This window comes from Homo sapiens, chromosome 13, assembly GCF_000001405.40.
Source record: "Homo sapiens chromosome 13, GRCh38.p14 Primary Assembly".
NCBI lineage: Eukaryota > Metazoa > Chordata > Mammalia > Primates > Hominidae > Homo > Homo sapiens.
In genome coordinates this window covers 51838309-51857382 of record NC_000013.11, presented here as the reverse complement: position 1 = coordinate 51857382, position 19074 = coordinate 51838309, and the positions used below count along the sequence as shown (strand labels likewise).

At 42.1% G+C, this 19074-nt stretch overlaps 1 protein-coding gene across 7 annotated transcripts in view, besides 1 other annotated feature; it reads left to right on the top strand.

Moving 5' to 3' along the window:
• Nucleotides 1–19074, top strand: part of TMEM272 (transmembrane protein 272) — a 121020-nt gene that overhangs the window by 76984 nt on the left and 24962 nt on the right. For 3 of the 7 annotated variants that reach the window (NM_001351006.2, NM_001351005.2, NM_001351003.2), the window contains exons 1-2: nucleotides 12206–12367; nucleotides 18830–18910. In NM_001351006.2, the coding sequence (NP_001337935.1) occupies nucleotides 18908–18910 (3 nt within the window). In that variant the 5' untranslated portion in view covers nucleotides 12206–12367; nucleotides 18830–18907. Of the gene's footprint in view, nucleotides 1–3425; nucleotides 3514–12205; nucleotides 12368–18829; nucleotides 18911–19074 lie in introns of those variants that run through there. The other 4 variants (XM_047430278.1, XM_047430280.1, XM_047430279.1 and 1 more) reach the window with 2 other exon arrangements.
• Nucleotides 7705–8205: an enhancer, noted in NCBI's record as "H3K4me1 hESC enhancer chr13:52423314-52423814 (GRCh37/hg19 assembly coordinates)". NCBI's record gives its function as "activates a minimal SCP1, AML or CMV promoter by ChIP-STARR-seq in naive H9 embryonic stem cells {active_cell/tissue: H9 hESC(naive)}" and the evidence as "EXISTENCE:reporter gene assay evidence [ECO:0000049][PMID:30033119]".

The window sequence follows — 19074 nt, the reverse complement described above, 5'->3', positions numbered from 1 at the left end:
CATTTCTTCCTGCATCTCTGTGCTTCTGTTTGGGATAATTTTTCAGGTACTCAAAAAATCATATTCTTTAGTATGGGTCTTGTGATGAAATCTCTCACTGTTTATTTGTTGAAAATACTTTTACCTTTTTTTTTTTTAATGCCAGCTAACAGGTGTTATCGGTAGAATGGTTTGCTTAGTGTGTTTCCACTGCTGTGTAAACAAATGCCACTTTCATTTTCCTGTTCTTTACATTATAGAGAATTTCATAGTAATGTGATTTCAAAACATAGATAAGAAATGAATTTTAATCTCTGTAAACAATTGATAACAAAATCAACATTTGTCTCTGATGAATTTGTATTATCATAGTATTGGCTCTAAGTTTTTAATAGAAAGGAAGAAAACATAATTAGGTACTACACAACACTGAAATCCAAATAGAAGTGCCTTTGTTTTCTTATTCAGACGTATTATCCTTTATAATCCCATTTGCCTTCATTATTGAAGTGTATTTCTACTGGTTAGAGAATTATAGGTTAGTTGTTATTTTCTTTCAGTTAGTCTGGTTTCTGTTGTTTCTGTTGAGAAGTCAGCATCAATCTAATTGTTGCTTTTTGAAGGAAGTATGCTTTTTAAAATTCTACCCGATGTTAATTTAAGACTTTGCCTTTGGTCTTTGGCAGCTTTATTTTGATGTGACCAGATGTGCTTTACTTTGTATTTTCATGCTTGGGATTTGAAGTATTTCTTGTATGATTGAAATTACCTTTGCAAAATGATGACGGTAAGAGAAATCTGACATAGTTGACTCCATCTTGCTTCTGACCTCCAGGATGTTCTTGGTCATTCCTGGGTGTAAGCCTGGGTAACTTTGGGAGGAATTTATAGTTTAACTTTGAAGCAAGGATGATAATAATCCCTCCCTAAAACAAATCCCTTCCCTGTTGGGGAACTGAAACCACCCTTTGTAAGACTAATGAAAGGCCACAAGATTAGGATTATGGGAGGGGCCTGAGTTCTGATAAAATGTAGGTATGGTTTCTATAATCCCTTAATGCTCAGGAGTCATGTGGCCTGAGGCCACAGGATTTATGACTTTCCAGTTGCTCCTGTAGATAACATCACTACTGTAGAACCTAGATTGGTCTTTTGAGATTTTTTTTCAGACTTCCTGGCAATCAACTGATCCTGCCTGAATCCATGATTTATAACTCAGCCAGTCCTGTGGCCCCACCCAAATGTGGACTCAGTGCATGTGAATCATTTTCAACACTCCTATGATTTCATCCCCAGCCAATCAGAAGTCCCCTGCCCACCAAATCATCTATAAAAACTCTAACCTCTGAGCTCAAGAAGAGTGATTTGAGTAATAACTCCATCTCACATATAGCTGACCTCTTGTCAATTAAACTATTTACTGCAATGCTGTGGTCTCAGTGAATTGATTTTTCTGTGCAGGGGCAGGAAGAACCCATCAGGTGATTATATCTCTGTATCTTACTAACCTTCATCACTTTTAGGACATTCTTGGACATATTTCTTTAAATATGTCGTCTTATTTTCTTCTCTTTTTCACTTAACAGAATTCCAATAACATATATGTTAAACATTTTCACTGGGTTCCTTATATTAACATTTTTATGCTCTTTTCTAATTCTCCATTGTCTCTCTGCTTTAGTCTGTATATTTTCTACTGTCCTATAGTCCATTTCACTATTCTTTCTTCAGCGGTGTCTAATCTACTGTTTCTATTCAGTCTTTAATTTTATTTATTAAATTTTATTCCAATCTAGGATATTCATTTGGTTCTCAGTTTTTCTGGTACCAAATTTATCCATCTTGATTTTTAATTCCATTTATTAATTGTAGTTATTTTAAAGTCTGTGTCTTATTATTATTCAAGATCCAGTTCATCTGTGGATATGTTTCTCTTGTCTTTTTTTCCCTCTTGGTTTTCTGTCAAAACTTATTTTCTTATACGGCTTGTTATTTTGATAGAGTGCTAATATTCTGAGGCTCTTCAGCATGTTAACTTCTTCCAGAGGTATTTATTTTTGCTTCTGGTAGGCAGAGAGGCTAGAAGTCAATTATTTTAATCCAGTTGGGAATTGAGATAATTCTAAACTGGGCTTCACTTCTTGTGAGATATGCTTCTTTAGTTGACCCTTTCTTCAAACAAAAGCTTGTGATGTTTTTCAGAGCCTCTCCTTGCTGATAGATCCTTGGGTGCAATTTTATCCCTTAGACCTCTTTACATTGCTGAAATCTCTGTTCAGACTTCTCAGCCTTTCATTCACTGCTTTCAATTTGAAATCAACAAATAATTTGAGGGAAAAGAATCTTCACCTCCACTGTCTTTATTGCTTGTTCAGGTCTTGGTCTCAAAATTTTTCTCCCTGCCTAGGTATCTCTGAGATGTCCAGTTCCTCATGTTGTTCCAAATACGATATTTTGCCCAAACAACCTAGTCAGCCTTTACCTAGTGCAGTACTCATATGGGGATTATAACCAAAAGAGTGACATAATAGAACTTTAGAATGTTGACCTGACCAAAAGGCCCAAAGCAGCAGTAAATAAATCAATAATAATAATTAAAATAACTAACATTTGTTGATTTCCTATGCCCTCGGTCACTGTCCTAAGTACTTTTGCATATATAGCCCATTTAATCTTAAGAATAAATTAATAAATTAGGTATTAATACCATTTCCATTTCACATATGAAGAAGGAAGTGCATAGAGAATTTCAGAAACTTGCCTAAAGCTACACAGAAGTAGAGCCTAGATTTGAACCAAGGCAGTTTTGCTCAGAGACCATACCTCTCTAAAGTAGAAGGTTACTATAATAACATAGGCATCAAATAGCCTGGGTCACAATGAGCATCATAGCTGGGGAGTCAGAGAAGAACAGATTGCTACAATAAATATTTTGAAGAAAGATGCAAAAGGTGATCAAATGGTTGCATGGCATGAAGATGAAGGAAGTGAAGGAAAGGTTTCAAGTACCCAGTCTCAATACCTGGAAAGTGATCGTGCACTGATAGAAATGTGAAATTGAGCTGGAGTTGATTTAGATGGGTTGGGGAAGTATTCTTACATGAAACTTTGGGATCCTCAGTGATTCACAGTTCATAAAGTGTTTGCTATTTCGGGTAAGCCTTATAATAGCCTCTGGAGGAAATAGCAATAAGATTATTATTGCTAAGTGTGAATGGAGTACAGAAAATAAATCACTTAACATCAGCGAGCTCACGGGATTGAAAAGGATATACTTTCTCCCCCTGCCACACACTTTGTACAAAATCAATATTTTCTGTTCACTCAAGATAGACAGTTTAACTTAAATATTTTAAAATCAGTGCCTCATGAGTGACACAAATTTAACTTAATCTTTTCAATGCTATTATTTTAAAAATAGTTTACCATTCTTGCCAATTTTCAAGGTAATGCATGTTCATTGTAAAAAGAAATCAGAAAATAGAGCAAAGATGAAGAAGAAAATGAAAATCAACCATATCCCAATACTCAAAGGTAACCAGTATGAACATTTTGGGGTATATTCTTCTAATATATTTCCTATCCTTATGACTACATATATTCTATGCAATTGGTTTTATTCTGTGTATGCTGTTTTGTGGCTTGCTTTTTCATATATCATTTACACTTCCCAATTTCTTTAAACATTTTTGAGAACACAATTTTTAATTACTGCCAGAGTGTACATTCCCCTATGTTGGAAAATTAATTTATTCCATTAGGGATATATTATGGTTGGCCCTTGAACAACACAGGTGTGAACAGTGAGGTCCACTTATACATGAATTTTCTTTGGCCTCTGTCACCCCTGAGACAAGAAGACCAACACCTCCTCTTCCTCTTCCTTCTCAACCTACTCAATGTGAAGACGATGAGGATGCAGACCTTTATGATGATCCATTTACACTTAATGAATAGTAAATATATTTTCTTTCTTCTTTCTTTTTTTTTTTGAGAGATGGAGTCTCGCTATGTTGCCCAGGCTGGAGTGCAGTGGCATGATCTCAGCTCACTGCAACCTCTGCCTCCCAGGTTCAAGCGATTCTTCTGCCTCAGCTTCCCAAGTAGCTGGGACTACTGGCATGCGCCACGAAGCCCAGCTAACTTTTGTATTTTTTAGTAGAGATGGGGTTTCACTATATGTTAGCCAGGCTGGTCTCAAACTCCTGACCTCAGGTGATCTGCCTGCCTCAGTCTCCCAAAGTGCTGGGATTACAGGTATGAGCCACCACGCCTGGCCTGGGATTTTCTTAACATTTTCTTTTCTCCAGCTTACTTTATCGTAAGAACACAGTATATATAATACATATAACATACAAAACATATGCTAATTGACTATGCTATTGTTTCTGGTCAACATTAGGCTATTAGTAGCTAAGTTTTTGGGGAGTTGAAAGTTACACATGGAATTCTGACTATGCACAGGTTCAGTGCTCCTAAGCACTCATTGTTCAAGGGTCAACTGTATTTTTTTTTTTTTTTTTGACGGAGTTTTGCTCTTTTTACCCAGACTGGAGTGGTGCAATGGCGCGATCTTGGCTCACTGCATCCTTCACCTCCTGGGTTCAAGCAATTCTCCTGCCTCAGCCTCCCAAGTAGCTGGGATTACAGAAGCCCGCCACCACGCCCGGCTAATTTTTTGTATTTTTAGTAGAGACGGGGTTACACCATGTTGGCCAGGATGGTCTCGATCTCTTGACCTCATGATCTGCCCGCCTTGGCCTCCCAAAGTCCTGGGATTACAGGCTTGAGCCACCGCGCCCGGCCGCGGGTCAACTGTATTTTCCTGGAAAAGTAGATCAAACTGGAAAATTGCTCAAAGATGAAGACAATGACAACATAATCATCACTGCTCATGGCCTCAGTCTCTGTATTGAAAGAAGAGAACTGTTTCTAGCCACACCAGCCATAAAGGAATCATGCCCTGGAAGCAGGCTTTGTGAAAGAGGAGACTTTGTCATGTTCACTGCTATATCCACAGTGCCCGTTTTATAAAGAGCTTCTGAAATTGAGCAGACAAAGACCACCAACCCAATAGATAAATGGCCAAAGGATATGAACAAATTGGTTGCAGACAAATGCAAATGGCTCTTAAATATATGAAAAAAATTTTCAACCATACTTATAATTAGAGAAATGCAATTGATTAAGAAAACTGTTGCATTTCTCATCGATCAAACTGGCAAAAATCCAAAAGTTTGACAATACACTCTGTTAGCAGAGTTGGAAGGAAATAGGCCCTGCTATACAGTGCTGGTAGGAATACAAACTGTTATAACCCCCATGTATGGGGATTTGTCAGAAACTAAGAAAATTACACGTGAATTTGCCTTTTCACCCAGCAATTCCATGTCTAGAAATTTATCCAGCAGGTACATGTACACAATTACAGAAAGATACTTGTGTAGGTTATTCATCGGAGTATTGTTTGTAATTCCAAAAGATTGGAAGTAACTCAATTTTGTAGCAATAGGGAACCACTTACATAAACTGGCACATCCACAGAGCAAAGTACTATGCAGCTGTAAAAAAATATATAACAGGCTGGGCGCGGTGGCTCACGCCTGTAATCCCAGCACTTTGGGATGCTGAGGCAGGCAGATCACAAGGTCAGGAGTTTGAGAGCAGCCTGGCCAACATAGTGAAACCCTGTCTTTACTAAAAATACAAAAATTAGTTGGACATGGTGGCGTGCGCCTGTAGTCCCAGTTACTCAGGAGGCTGAGGCAGGAGAATTGCTTGAACCCAGGAGGTGGAGGTTGTGGTGAGCCGAGGACATGCCACTGCACTCTAGCCTGGGTAACAGAACAAGACTCCGTCTCAAAAAAAAAAAAAAAAAAAAGGTAAAACAAAGGTCTTTTCGTGCTGATTTGGAGAGATTCCCAGGATACATTATTAAGTGAAAAAAAAAAATGACTACAAATGTAGGGCGTCTTCTTCTTCTTCTTCTTCTTGTTCTTCTTCTTCCTCCTCCTCCTCCTCCTCTTCCTCTTCTTCCTCTTCTTCCTCTTCTTTTTTTTTGGTTACGGAGGAGGCAAGATGTCACTCTGTAGTTCAGGTTGGAGTGCAGTGACATGATCATGGCTCACTGCACCTTCCACATCTCAGGCTCAAGTGATCCTCCCACCTCAGTCCCCCAAGTAGCTGGGACTATCAGTGCACGCCACCACACCCAGCTAATTTTTGTACTTTTTGTAGAGACAGGGTCTTGCTGTGTTGCCCAGCTGGTCTCAAACTCCTAGGCCCAAGGGATCTGCCTGCCTTGGCCTCCCAAAGTGCTGTAGTACCTCTTCTTTTAAACAAATCTTAAAATTGGAAATGAACACATGAACATAACCATACATCAAATATATACCATACCCCTACAGAGGAAGGATTATGTCACATGATCCTAGGGCACACTTCTTTGACTCACCCTCCTTAGCGGGATATATTCTAAAGAGGAGAAGAACTTCAAATAAATTTGAAACTTCAACTTGGTCATTTTATTTTTGTAGAAGTGCTGTACTGTTACTTTGAAACATTTCTTTCTATTGTATGACAAAGCATATAAATACGTTAATAATGTTAGGATTCAAAATTTTCAGTATAAAAGAAAAGGGATACAATGATAAAAATCAAATAAATTACACAAAAGAGTATAGTATTAGATTTAAATTTTAAATATCAAAAAGTACTCATGATTTTAAAAATAGATATGGTATAGCTCTGTTTATTGAAATGGACCGGTAGCAACAATATCACAGAAGCAATGCATACCCCCTATCCCCACCTGAGAAAAAATTATTGGTAAAATAAGAATTAAAATATTATTTTAAATTTATTATAAATCAGCAAACATTATACTTGATGATAAAAGACTCAGGGCTTACTGTGTGCCCATAATTGCTCATTGATGTAAGTGTACCAGCTGACTGGTGTCTCCATTCTGACTGGGCAGGGCCCTTGTCTAGTTTTTACATTCTTTAAAAATATCCCAGAAGACATTATTAAAATAAAGAAGTGGATAGCATTCACCGTTTTGTAAATAATAACCAATTTATTAGGCAAAGAAATAAAACAAGTATAAATATTATAAGGAAATCATCATTACTTAATAGGTGATTTGGCTTAACACCTAATAAAGAGGGGGAGAGAGAAACAACGTAAAATTGTAGTTGATAATAGCAGTAGAATGCCAGTTCTCCCCAAATTTGTGTATAAACTTAATGCAATCTCAAACAAAATTACAGAAGGGTTTTTCTTTCCCCAGGGGAACATTTCAAGTAGCTGGGACTACAGGCACACACCCCTACACCCAGCTAATTTTTTATTTTGTTTTTTAGTCTCAATACATTGCCTGAGCTGGTCTCGAACTCCTGGTGTCAAGCAATCCTCCTGTCTTGGCCTTCTAAAGTGCTCGGTCACGGGCATGAGCCACTGTGTCCATCCTGTTTCTGAAAGAGACAGCCCAGGTCCCACTGAGAGACCACAGACGGCAGGAAGCGATGGGGAGGGAGGGCAAAGAGGCGCCAGTAGGTGGCGTTGTGCATTTTCCCAACCCTGACACTTGCCCCTGGGAACTTAGACCCTCGGCCTTGGAGCCCAGGTTAAGGACAGGAAGACAGGAGAGTTATTCCTTTCCTCACACCCACTCCAAGGCGCCACTTCAGACCTGAGTAAAAGGGTTGAGGCGGGAAACCTGACAGCGGCGTGTCCGCGCATCCTCCCACAGGGCCTCTGCGACCGCTGAAATTGGGGCTGAAGAGACCCCGGGATTTTCTGGAGCATGTTGGACAACTGCCCGGTTCCACAGGGCCCTTAGAATGTTAGGCCTTGACTCCCCCAGCTTCTCAGATCCAGGAGTTTGTTTGCTTATTAAACTGTGCTAAAATACACATAACATAAAACTCAACATCTTAACCACTGAAAAATGTACAGCTCAGTAGTGTTAAGAATATTCACATTGTTGTGCAACCAATCTTTTTCATCTTGCAAAACTGAAATGCCACATCCCTTAAACAGCAGCTCCCCGTGCTCCCCTTCCTCCAGCCCCTGGTGACCACCAGTCTACTTCCATGTCTATGACTATTCTGTGTGCCTCACGTGAGTGGAGTCATACAGCATTCGCCTTTCTGTGGCTGGCTTATTTCTTAGCATAATGGCCTCAAGTTTGCAGCATGGGTCAGGGGTGCCTGTCATTTAACTCTTCTTCTTCCTGACTGTGAACTAGTTGTGGGACCATGCATTCTGTTTCTCTTTTTCTTAAATTGTCCTCAGGAAAATTAAAATGCTGGGAAAAGTCAAAAGGAAAATGAAAACTTATATTGAAATGCTTTTTGACTCAGGTAGAAGTCGAAGTGAGGGACCCTGAAGGTTTTCTCCCAAATTAGGAAGCCGTCAGGATGAATAGATGGTAAATATAGAAACGGTGACTCAAATAGAAGAGTGACATCAGAATGGAAAACTTCCAAAGAAAGCATGAAAAGAATTAGGATGTTTACATAGAACTAATTTGTTGGGGAATAACACACAAGCAAAGACGAAGACAAAGACAAACTTTTGTGCAATCTTGGGGAAGAGTGAGAGTGAACACTCATCAGTGTCCCTTGGCTTTCTGATTGCTCCTTTTGGAGGTGCACAACCTGGTCTTTGGGCAACTTTAGCATCTCCCTTCATTTCTACAGCTTCCATCAAGAAGTCAGGCCTACCCTCATTAACTCACAGTTGCCTTTGTAATTAAACTCAGGCACGTGCTCATTCACTCACTACTCTTTTGCATCAAAATTCCTTATAGGATACATGGATTTTATTAAGTAATCTTTTTATTCACAGTATCTGGCTTGGAGTCAGCAGTATTCATTCAATGAATGAATGAACTCACTTTTATGAGGAGAACCACCTCAACTAAAGACAAGCATTTAAAAATTTATACTCTGAATTCAACTTTCACTCAATTCTACTATCATCTCCCCTAATGTGCCCTTTATTCATATGGCAATAGTGGAGTGGTGCCATATGTGGACTCTATCACGTGGCCTGAATTGAAGTTCATTACACACTTAGTAGCCATATGCCTTTAATCTCTGTACCTTATGCTACTCATCTGTGAAGTGGGGGTATTAATCGCACCTACTTTGCTTTGGGCAGCATTTCCAGTGGTGGTCTTCCACTCACATCTCTAGGGTTAGCAACTGCTTCCACTGTCAGTTGCTAATCTCTGGGTTACTCCACCACGACATCGTGCATGACTTTTCAGCTCTTCCGTGGCTCTTGTAACTAATTCCCCATATCAGATTCCCCGTTTTTCTTAACTGATAGAGCTATTATTACTATCATTTATCATTACCTTTGGAGTCTCATAATCACTTTCCAAAGACTCCTACTTTCTCCCCCACAAAAATCTCCTATTTCTGTACTCATAAGTACAGTTGTCTGTTGGCAGAAAAATATTCTTTGATGTTTTGCTGCATGTTTGGGGACATGTGGAAAAGCTCCTGAGTGACCTGCCATTGTTTTCTCCCTTCCTGAACTCCCAGGAAGACTGCCTCATCACCTGAAATTTTGTTTGTTTTGATGTCAGGGCTAAAATGTGCTCAAAAAAGACTGCTGCCCCTTTTTGGCCACGTCCAGGCCAGGCTTATGGTCACCGTGTGCTCCCAGACCCCCACCACTTTGGCAGGGAAGCCTTAAGACTCTGACCTCACTGCTCACAGTCACTCTGCTTCCACTCACTCAGTGTGAGATAAGAGAAGATTCAAGTACCGTCATGTATCACTGAACCATGGGTATATGTTCTGAGAAATGTGACATTCGGCAATTTTGCCATTGTGTGAAGGTCATAGAATGTATTCACACAAACTCACATAGTATAGCCTACTACACACCCAGTGGTCCCCAATCTTTTTGGCACCGGAGACCAGTTTCATGAGGGTGGGGATGGGGAAGGTTTTGGCATGAAACCGTTCAACCTCAGATCATCAGGCATTAGATTCTCATAAGGAGTGTGCAACCTAGATTTCTGGCATGCACAGTTCACGAAGGATTTGTGCCCCTGTGAGAATCAAATGCCGTTGCTGATCTGACAGGAAGTGGAGCTCAGGTGGTAATGATTGCTCACCTGCCACTCATCTCCTGCTGTGGGGCCCGGTTCCTAAAAGGCTAGGGACCAGTACTGTTCCCAAAAGGCCAGAGACCATGGCATGTTACTGTATTGAATAATGTAGGCAGTTGTAACACTGTGGTAAGTATTTGTGTATCTAAACGTAGAAAATACTACACATAGTATTTGTGTATCTAAACATTGTGTACAGTAAAAATAGGATATGAAGGATTAAAAAATGGTGCACCTGTATAGGGCATTTACCATGAATGGAGCTTGCAGGACTGGAAGTTGCTCTGGATGAGTCAGTGAGTGAGTGATTAGTGAATGTGAAAGCCTAAGACATTACTACACACTACTATAGCCTTCATAAACACTGTACACTTAGGCTACACTACATTTATTAAAAATATTTTTCTTTAATAATAAAGTAACCTTAGCTTACTGTAACTTTTTTACTTTATAATTTTTTTTAATTTTGACTCATACATTAGCCCATACATTATACATACATTACATTAGCCTAGGCCTACACAGGGTCAGGATCATCAATATCACTATCTTCCATCTCCACATCTTGTCCCACTGGAAGTTCTTCAGGGGCAATAACAGGCAGGAGCTGTCATCTCCTATGATAACAATGCCTTCTTCTGGATACCTCCTGAAAGACCTGCCTGAGGCATTTTTACAGTTAACCTTTTTTTAATATATATAAGTAAAGGAGTACACTCTAAAATAATGATAAAAAGTATAGTATAAATACATAAAGCAGTGACTTCGTTGTTTTTTATTACTGTAAAGTATCATGTGCTGTACATAATTGTATGTACTTTACTTTTATGTGATTGGCAGTGCAGTAGGTTTGTTTACACCAACATCACCACAAACACATCAGTAATGTGTTGCACTACAACATTATGACTGCTATGACATCACTAGGTGATAGGAATTTTTTAGTTCCATTATAATCTTAAGGAACCACCATCTGTGTGGTCCATCATTGACTGAAACATTGTTATGTGGCTCATGACTGTGACTGTATGTCCTTTCCTCTAGCAGGCTCTCCTCCCCTTGCTCCTCTGCTTCACCCTGTCCTGTGGTGTGAAGTGGTCACCTTGGATTCAGGACTGGGAGAGTGGCAGGGCCAGCCCTAGAGTGAGCCCGGAGAGGTGCCCTCCTCCCAGGGGTGTGCAATGCAGGGGTAGCTTCAGAGGGAGCAGCTCCTTGCATTTTACATAATAGGCTCTTCTCTTGCCTCACACCAGTCCCTCCCCCAGTCCCTCCCCAGTAGACTGGCCTTTTCCACCGAAATGACAACAAAAAACCTGGAATGTCAGGGTTGGAGAATGCCTTTAAGTCATGTGACGCCAGTTTCTCTAAGTGTGGTCCATGGAGCACCTACAGGAGACTTAGCAGAGTCTAAACTGCAGATTCCTGGGCCCAGGCCCAGACCTACAGATTGAGAATCTTTGGGAGGTGGTACAGGAATCTGCATTTCAATAAAGAATCTCTGGCACTTCTTATAAATCAGCAGCTGAGAACTTCTACTGCTAGGTGCTTGCTTACAATACAGACACACAACAGCCTCACAAAGCAGCCTGCTTCAGGTCTAAGAAGGCCACTGTTACAAAGTTTATGACATGGGGCACAATTCAGCCTTCTTGTAACTTCATTCTATCTCAGATCTGGCCGTCTGCAATGACTCGGAATCAATTTAATCCCTTTTCTACGTGGCAGTCCTGAAGTCCATAGGGCACCTCTCATTACCTCAGCCCACTTTGAGTACCTTCACACTCTTTCCTAAGCAGCCGCTGTTCGGTCCACCCTTTCTCGTGTGCCACCAACATGCAGGGAGGGCAAGGGGTGAGAAGGGGCTCGCACCAGAACTAAGTCCCTAGGTTTAGTGCCTAAGGGACTGAAATGAAATGTTTCCCGCGGGAATTCCTAACTCCAAGGGGTCGGCCATGTTTCCACAGCTCCCAGGGTCGCTCTGCTGCCCCCCTGCGGGCCTGGGGAACACTGCAGGGGTATGAGCCGGCGGTGGGGCTGCTCTCCCCACACGTGGGAGTGGGAAATGGAGAGAACCCGCCCCTTAGAGGAAAAGCCACGAGTTGCTGTTGTGCTGCAGGAGAGAAAGGGAGAAAGAAAGCGTGCGACAGGGAGTGGGAGCCCCAAGTCAAGAGGAGCCCCACAGAGGCAGCCCTGGACTTCGGGACCACAGAGGTGCTGAGTGCTGCCCGATTCTGGATCCCACTCTGCTTAGCTCAGGTGAGTCCGGCAACCCTGGGCAGCCTGTGAAGTTGGAGAGACAGTCCTAGCAGAGGGTTTCTTGAAATCATTCTTAGGAAGATGCCAATGTGCTGATTATGCTTCCTGGAAAGAAAATGACTACATTGTGGAAGTGCTTTTCTTAATTGTGTGGAGGGAACGAAAACAATCTTCACTGAGTCTAAGGGAGATGGGTTTTCTGGAGAAGAGAACAATCGTAAAGGAATAATTAACTGCAGGGCGAAGGCAAGTTGTGTGGGACTCTTAGAAACAACCTACCGGCTGCAGGACAGCGAGTGGGGACCACAGGCATCACCTCCATGTCTTACCTATTGGGGCTGTGAGCAAGTGGCTTTGACTTGGTCATTTTAAAGGGGTGGTAGAGCTCAAAGGAAGTGCATTTTTCATTTCCTAGGAGCCAAACAATGAAGGCATCCTAGGGAGGTTGTGGAATGACTCTGAGACACAGTAGGTATGCGATAACCTCCACTGAATTCATGCATTCGGGCATGGTTAGGAGAGAAAACAGCACAGGTTACACAGAGAGCTACAGATAAGAAAGGACTGTGTCCTGAGCACCCGAAATGTTTGTTGAAAATATTCAACAATACTAGTTAACATCTGCTTTGAAGGAACAGGTATGGGGATGGTTAATGTCTAATATTCAATGTTATTCAAAACCAAGAGTGAGTTGGTCCTCACAGCTGATTTAGGAATAAATAGTTTAATTTACCAAGCCAATCAGTAAAAACACAATCATATATATATATGTGTGTGTGTCTACACATACACACATATATATACATATATATATGTTTACTGTTGATTCATGACACAACTCAGAGGTTAACAAAAGTAGAATTTTACAAATTTGAACTCTAAAACTGGGAATGTTAGACAGACATAGAAAGTTTCTCAGACCTAGTCCTATTGACATTTTGGAGCAGATAAGTGTTGTTGGGGACTGCCCTGCTCCTTGGAGGATGTTTTTCAGTATCTCTGGTCTCTTTATCGACAGCCCTGCTCCAGCCATGACTATTAAAAATGTCTCCACATATTGCCAAATGTGCCTTGGGGATCAGATCACCTCTGGTTGAGAACCACTGAGATATATCAATTGGACTGAAAATTGAAAATGCATTGAGCATATCATTTGGCAATTATTATTGATTAATTCCCATCGTGCCCTTTATTATCACTCAGCTGCTAGGAGAGGAAGCAGCAGGGGCTATTATCACTGCCCTTCTAGGTGCAGAGGCAGGTGTGAGACACACAGTCCTATCACAGCATGCCCAAGGATAGACTTGTAAGTCACTGTTTGTTCACACTGGAGAGAAGGCACTGCCCGGCCTGTTACCCCAATCTCTTCCTGTTTCAGATTTCTAACAAATAAGAAAACTTTCTATCAAATAAGAAAAAATGTACGTTTTCTTAGTAGAAGATATAGAAGGTATAGAAATTGACTAAAATCTGTGTCATTACAGATTTTAGTCAATCATTTAATGGATTGCATTGACATGAATCCATCATTAGTATGTATTTGCTCTATTGGGCATCTCTTGCTGTTGAGGGACCCTCTTTTGGAAGAGCTGCCGCTTCAAAGGGCTCCAAGGAACGTGCAGTTTTTTGTGAGTTGTTCAAGTCCCCACCATAATAGTGAATAGGTCTTTTGTAGTGTATTTGAATCTGCAAATTCACACAGTGAATTCTGTGAATCAAAAAGCAGATTCACTGCTATTTTCTCAAATTGCAGCTTTCTTTGTGGGCTTCCTCTGAATTGAAATAAATCCATATCTTGGGTCATAAAAACCAAATCACAAGGGGGAACATACAACTGGGAAATAAGCCTAGAAAGAATTGGCAAAATATCACTGGCAATCAAAAATGTAAATTAAAATAATTAATTTCCACTTTTGCCTATGAGAGTAATAAAAATGCATTAGTCTTTCAGCCACCCAGTGCTGGTTAGGTGTGGTGAAACTGCCACTCTCATATTGCTGGTGGCACTGGAAATGGATACAGCTCATTTATAAGTCAATTTTACCTCAAATCCAAAAAGTTGCTTATGCTTTTTAATTACATAACTATTCCAAGAGATCTACGTGTGCATGAAACAAAGCACTTTTCATGGAGAGAAATGTCTCTTAGGATTACTTGAGTGAAAAGTAAATATCCAACAAGAAGATATAGAGAAATATAGTTTGATATAGCGTACTCTGTGAAATATAATTCAGCTGTGAAAATGAGAGTTCTGAAGACCAAATGGTAACAGAAAGAATGCTTATGTCAAAATGTGATGTGTTCACTTAATGTGCCTGATTATTGCAACCATGTAAAATGTGTGTACATGCACATATGCATATGTATATATGCATATACTTAAAAGCTCCAAAATACTAACAGTTGGGCTGGAAGTTCTGCAGTTGTTTATAATGACTAATGATTTTCTTTTCTCCTTGATCTAATTTTTCTGTGAATTCGCTTTTGTAATTTTTAAAGAAAGTATTCCAAAAGAGAAAAATCTTGCCTACCACCATCACATCATCTCTCTTCTTTTTGTGTCTGCTCCCTGGTGGACTTACTCCTTTTCTGCTTATCTATCTCCTACATGCTACTTTTTAAAAATCTCTGGACTTTTGGAAAGCAAACTACTTTTCATTTCAAATAATACTTCTTGAATTTTAAGAGGTTTTAAAAAGAAGTTTAAAATTATAATGGTAAAACCTGCTAATGGGGGAAAAGGCAAGGCAATATTTGGGTATAAAGTGGAAATGAAAATACTACCCACGCCTGCCTGCGGCACATTCCTCCCTACCCCTACCCCAGCCCCAGTGGCCCCATATCCCTGTACCTGCCTTCATAGGGAACAGTTATTCACAGTGGTTTAGTGTTTATGCTGCTGATCTTTTTCTATGTGTTTACGTAGATCTACAGACATTATTACATGCACGAGGTCATATGATGTGTGTGTGTGTGTGTTTAACATTTTATTCCTTGTAAGGGAAGTTGAACACAATATGCAAAGTTTGTCGGCCAGCATTTGAGACTGTACCTGGGAATTCTGTCTTCCCTTTCGGGCTGGATGCCAAAGCTGAGTTCTACTGCCACTGCTACCTGTCTCTTAGGGAACATTCTTTAAGGCGTGACAGAATTCACAGCACATCATTCTTTTTTTAGTTCTCATCCATCTTGCCAGTTTATGAAAATAACAAGCTTGAAAGAATAAGAGTCTCCTCATTTATAAAATGGATCTAATACCTGCGACTTGTGTTGGTGTGTTCTATTGGCTGCCACCTCTTGTGGTCTGATATTATCAATAAAGATATCACTGTTTTTCAAATTGATGTTTCTACCTTATTTGCAGTTAGTGGCTAAAGGGATCAGCCAATTTAGGACATTTGCATTAAAAAATGTATATGCAGCTCTATTACTTTTTGTGGTGAAACATTGTTCTTCAGGATTCACAGGAGATTAAAGCGTGACCTCTTACCCCAGGGAATGGCCCAAGGTAGAAATGTCTTGTTATAATGTGACACAGACCCATCTCGTTAGTTTCTGCAAAGCTGCTGTGGATTTGAAGACTGGAATGTCTTAGTTTGTAGGCGCTGATAGAAACCGTTCAACACATTTCAAAGGAAGTTTGTAAATCAGTGGCGACTCCACCAGGCAAGTGTAAAGAGATGGCTCTTGTGTCTCCTCCCTCTGTTCTATCCCTTCTGTGATCCAGGAGAAAAATGCTGTGGTTCGTGGCTGGAAGATGTGAAGTACACACTCTCCCTGTTATGTGAAGTGCACCCTCTGTTTTCCCTAAGAAGGGTGAGGAAAGGAACCGACCTTCCGGGCCTTTAGGAGCCGTGATGGGCCATGGCCCCTTTAGATAACTGGGCTTATCACTGGATCCAGGAGGGTTGTTTTTCCAGGCAGGGTTTTAAGTGGCTTAGCTTCTGTGACACCCGTGTGGCAATCAACCTCATGAAGTGTGGACATCAACAATAAATCTGTAATTCATACAGTAGCCATTTGTCCATGGCTTGGGGCCTACTTGTTATGTAACAAACGGATGTGCACCTGGCAAACCCCATTGGGCCAGAGAACTGGTCTCATTTCACCTTGATCGGTAGAATCCCGAGTCAAAGGATGTGGAAGGAGGCTGTGGTTTCCTCAGGGCTGTGGTGTTCCTGATTTTCTGTGTATAAGGACATCACAGCCACAGTTTTTGCAAGAACATTGTGGGGGAAAATGGAGCCTTGTGAAGAGACATTTGAATAGTAGTTCATAGAATTATTCATTAAACATTACTGAAGACCTACTGCATGCCAGGGAGACAGACTCATGCGCATCCCCCACAATTGCTTCCAGGAGAACAGTGGGCAGGGAGCCTGCGTCAGGAGGCAGAAACAGCAGAGGGACCCCTGGAATCCAAAGCGCTGCCTTTGGGATTCCCAGGGATTGGGGGGTCAGAAAACCTTGGGTGCTCAGCCCTGCCACTCTGTGTCCCATCATCTCACTGCAGTCAAAACTGTCAAAGTCCGTTCTGGTTAACAGAGAGTAGGCACCTCAAGTTTGGCAGATTTTAAGACACCTGGATTCCAATCTGGCTGTGTGATCTTGGGCAAGTCCTTCACTTTTCTGACCCTCAGTTTCTTCATCTGTAAAATGGGGATAAGAATCTTTGCCTGGTTAAATAGGATCAAGCATGACAGGACTGACCAGGGAGGCACCGTGACCTCCTTGCTTAATCCCTGACTCACTTTGGGAAGCCTCTCCTTTCCAGGTTTCTTCCCCTTTATTGCTCTGGGGTGAAGTGGAGAGATTGTGGGCTTTGAAGGCACAAAGTCCAGGTTTCAGATAGAGTCTCGGAGGCCTCATTTCAAACCCCAGTTCTACCACTTACTAGCTGGGTGACTTTGAGCAAACAAATTGATCTGAATCTTGGTTTTCTCTGTAAAATGGGGCATACGAACTGAGGAGACTAAATTAGGTAACATGTGGAAGACCTTGGCAGGGCGCTGGTGATATGCCTCTGGTTGGGGACTGACTATCTCTGGTCACACTGCTTCCTGCCATAAAGGTCCTGTTGACATAAAGCCAAGTTTTGAGCATGACATGTCCTAGAAGGACAGTGATGGGAAATAAGAACCCCGAGTCTCAGCCCAACCACCGTGCTTGTGTGCTAGCAGTGGATCAGCTGCAGAGAGAAGCTGCGGGCTGCATGGCTCCTGCCTGCAGGCCCATGCTGACGCTGGCGGTGGAGTGACTTGCCTGCTATGAGCCACAGCTCTGGTCAAAGCAAGCTCTCCTTCTGTCATCATGACCATCTCTGTCCTCAGACCACAAATCTTCCCCATCACGGCCTGTTCCCCCTGCCCTAAGCCCTAGTTCACCCAGGAGGGCCTGCAGGTAGTGCTGCTAAAATGCTGTGGTCCCTTGGTTTGCAAACCCCTGCAGTATGAGGAACAAGGACCTTGTTAAATCGTGCTTTTAAATGGAGCCGCGGCTACTCTGGACAGGTTCCTGGGGAGACTTTTGTATGAAGTAAGGATGCCTGCCCCAGATCCCGCCTGGATCAGCCAGCCCCCATGGAGGCCTTACTCCCAAGCAATGACGTGGTGGGAAGTGGTGGAACTACGCACACCCAGCCTCAGGAACAAAGTGACTCCCTTCCTCTCCTAGTGTCTTTACGGGGCTACCTCATTTCACCGGGCAGGAAAATTTGCCGTCTTGATGAGCTGGAGTTTTTTTGTGGATTTAAAATGTATATGGCTGTTTCTTCCAAGGAAGGGAAGCCCTTTCTCACAGTGTCAACCAACTTGCTCAGACCACAGCAGGTCCACAGGGGAGCCGGGGTGGTGCTCCAGGCCGCTCGGGTCTCCACCCAGGCTGCTCTGGTCAAGTCCATGGTTCCTCTTCCGCTTGGACCCTGGGGAGTGCAGCAGCTGCGTCAGGAAGTGAGGGCGCCCTTGCTCTGTACCTGGAGCCATACCTGGATCAAGTTTGGGTTCTGCCAGTTGCCAGCTCTGGCCTTAGGGTGAATCTTAAGCTCTCAGGGTCTCTAAGGCGCCATCTGTAAAACAGAGTCAGTAACACTTCCCAGATAGGATTGTTGTGGGATTAAATATGAGATGACCTATTTAAAGAGTTAACACAACGCCTGGCTGCAGCCATTGCTCAGCAAGTGAGAGCTGTTACCATCTCCCCCTCCAGGCCTGTGTCTTCCTGGCTGGTATCACTGGGCAAGCCTCTTAACCTCTCTGAGCTTGGTTCTCTCATTTGTGGAATAGGGGGTCTTTTTCTCAGCCCCGCTAACCACTAACAAGGCCACACCTGACACTGGCACCCAGGCCACCCGGGCTGACTGAGACCACCCTGCAGGCCACCACTGACATGCACAGAGAGGGTTGGTTATTGGTGCTGAGTAAATCCTTCCACCATCCTTTCTAATGAATTATTTTTGATCCTCAGAACTTTGTCAGCGAGCAAGAACAATGCCAGGAGGTCTGGAGAAAACGTGTCATCAGTGCATTTCTAAAATCGCCAGCAATGGTGAGTCACAACTCTGAGAAATGCCCTGGTTTTGTAGGATTGAGACCTCTGGGATCACCCGATGAGCTAAAGCTGGAGTGGATCATATGAGTGGGCTGTGCTTGGTATGGGGTGGCCCCAGGGTGGTAGAGCTGGGGAAGACAGTGTCCGGCCCTCGGTTGGCT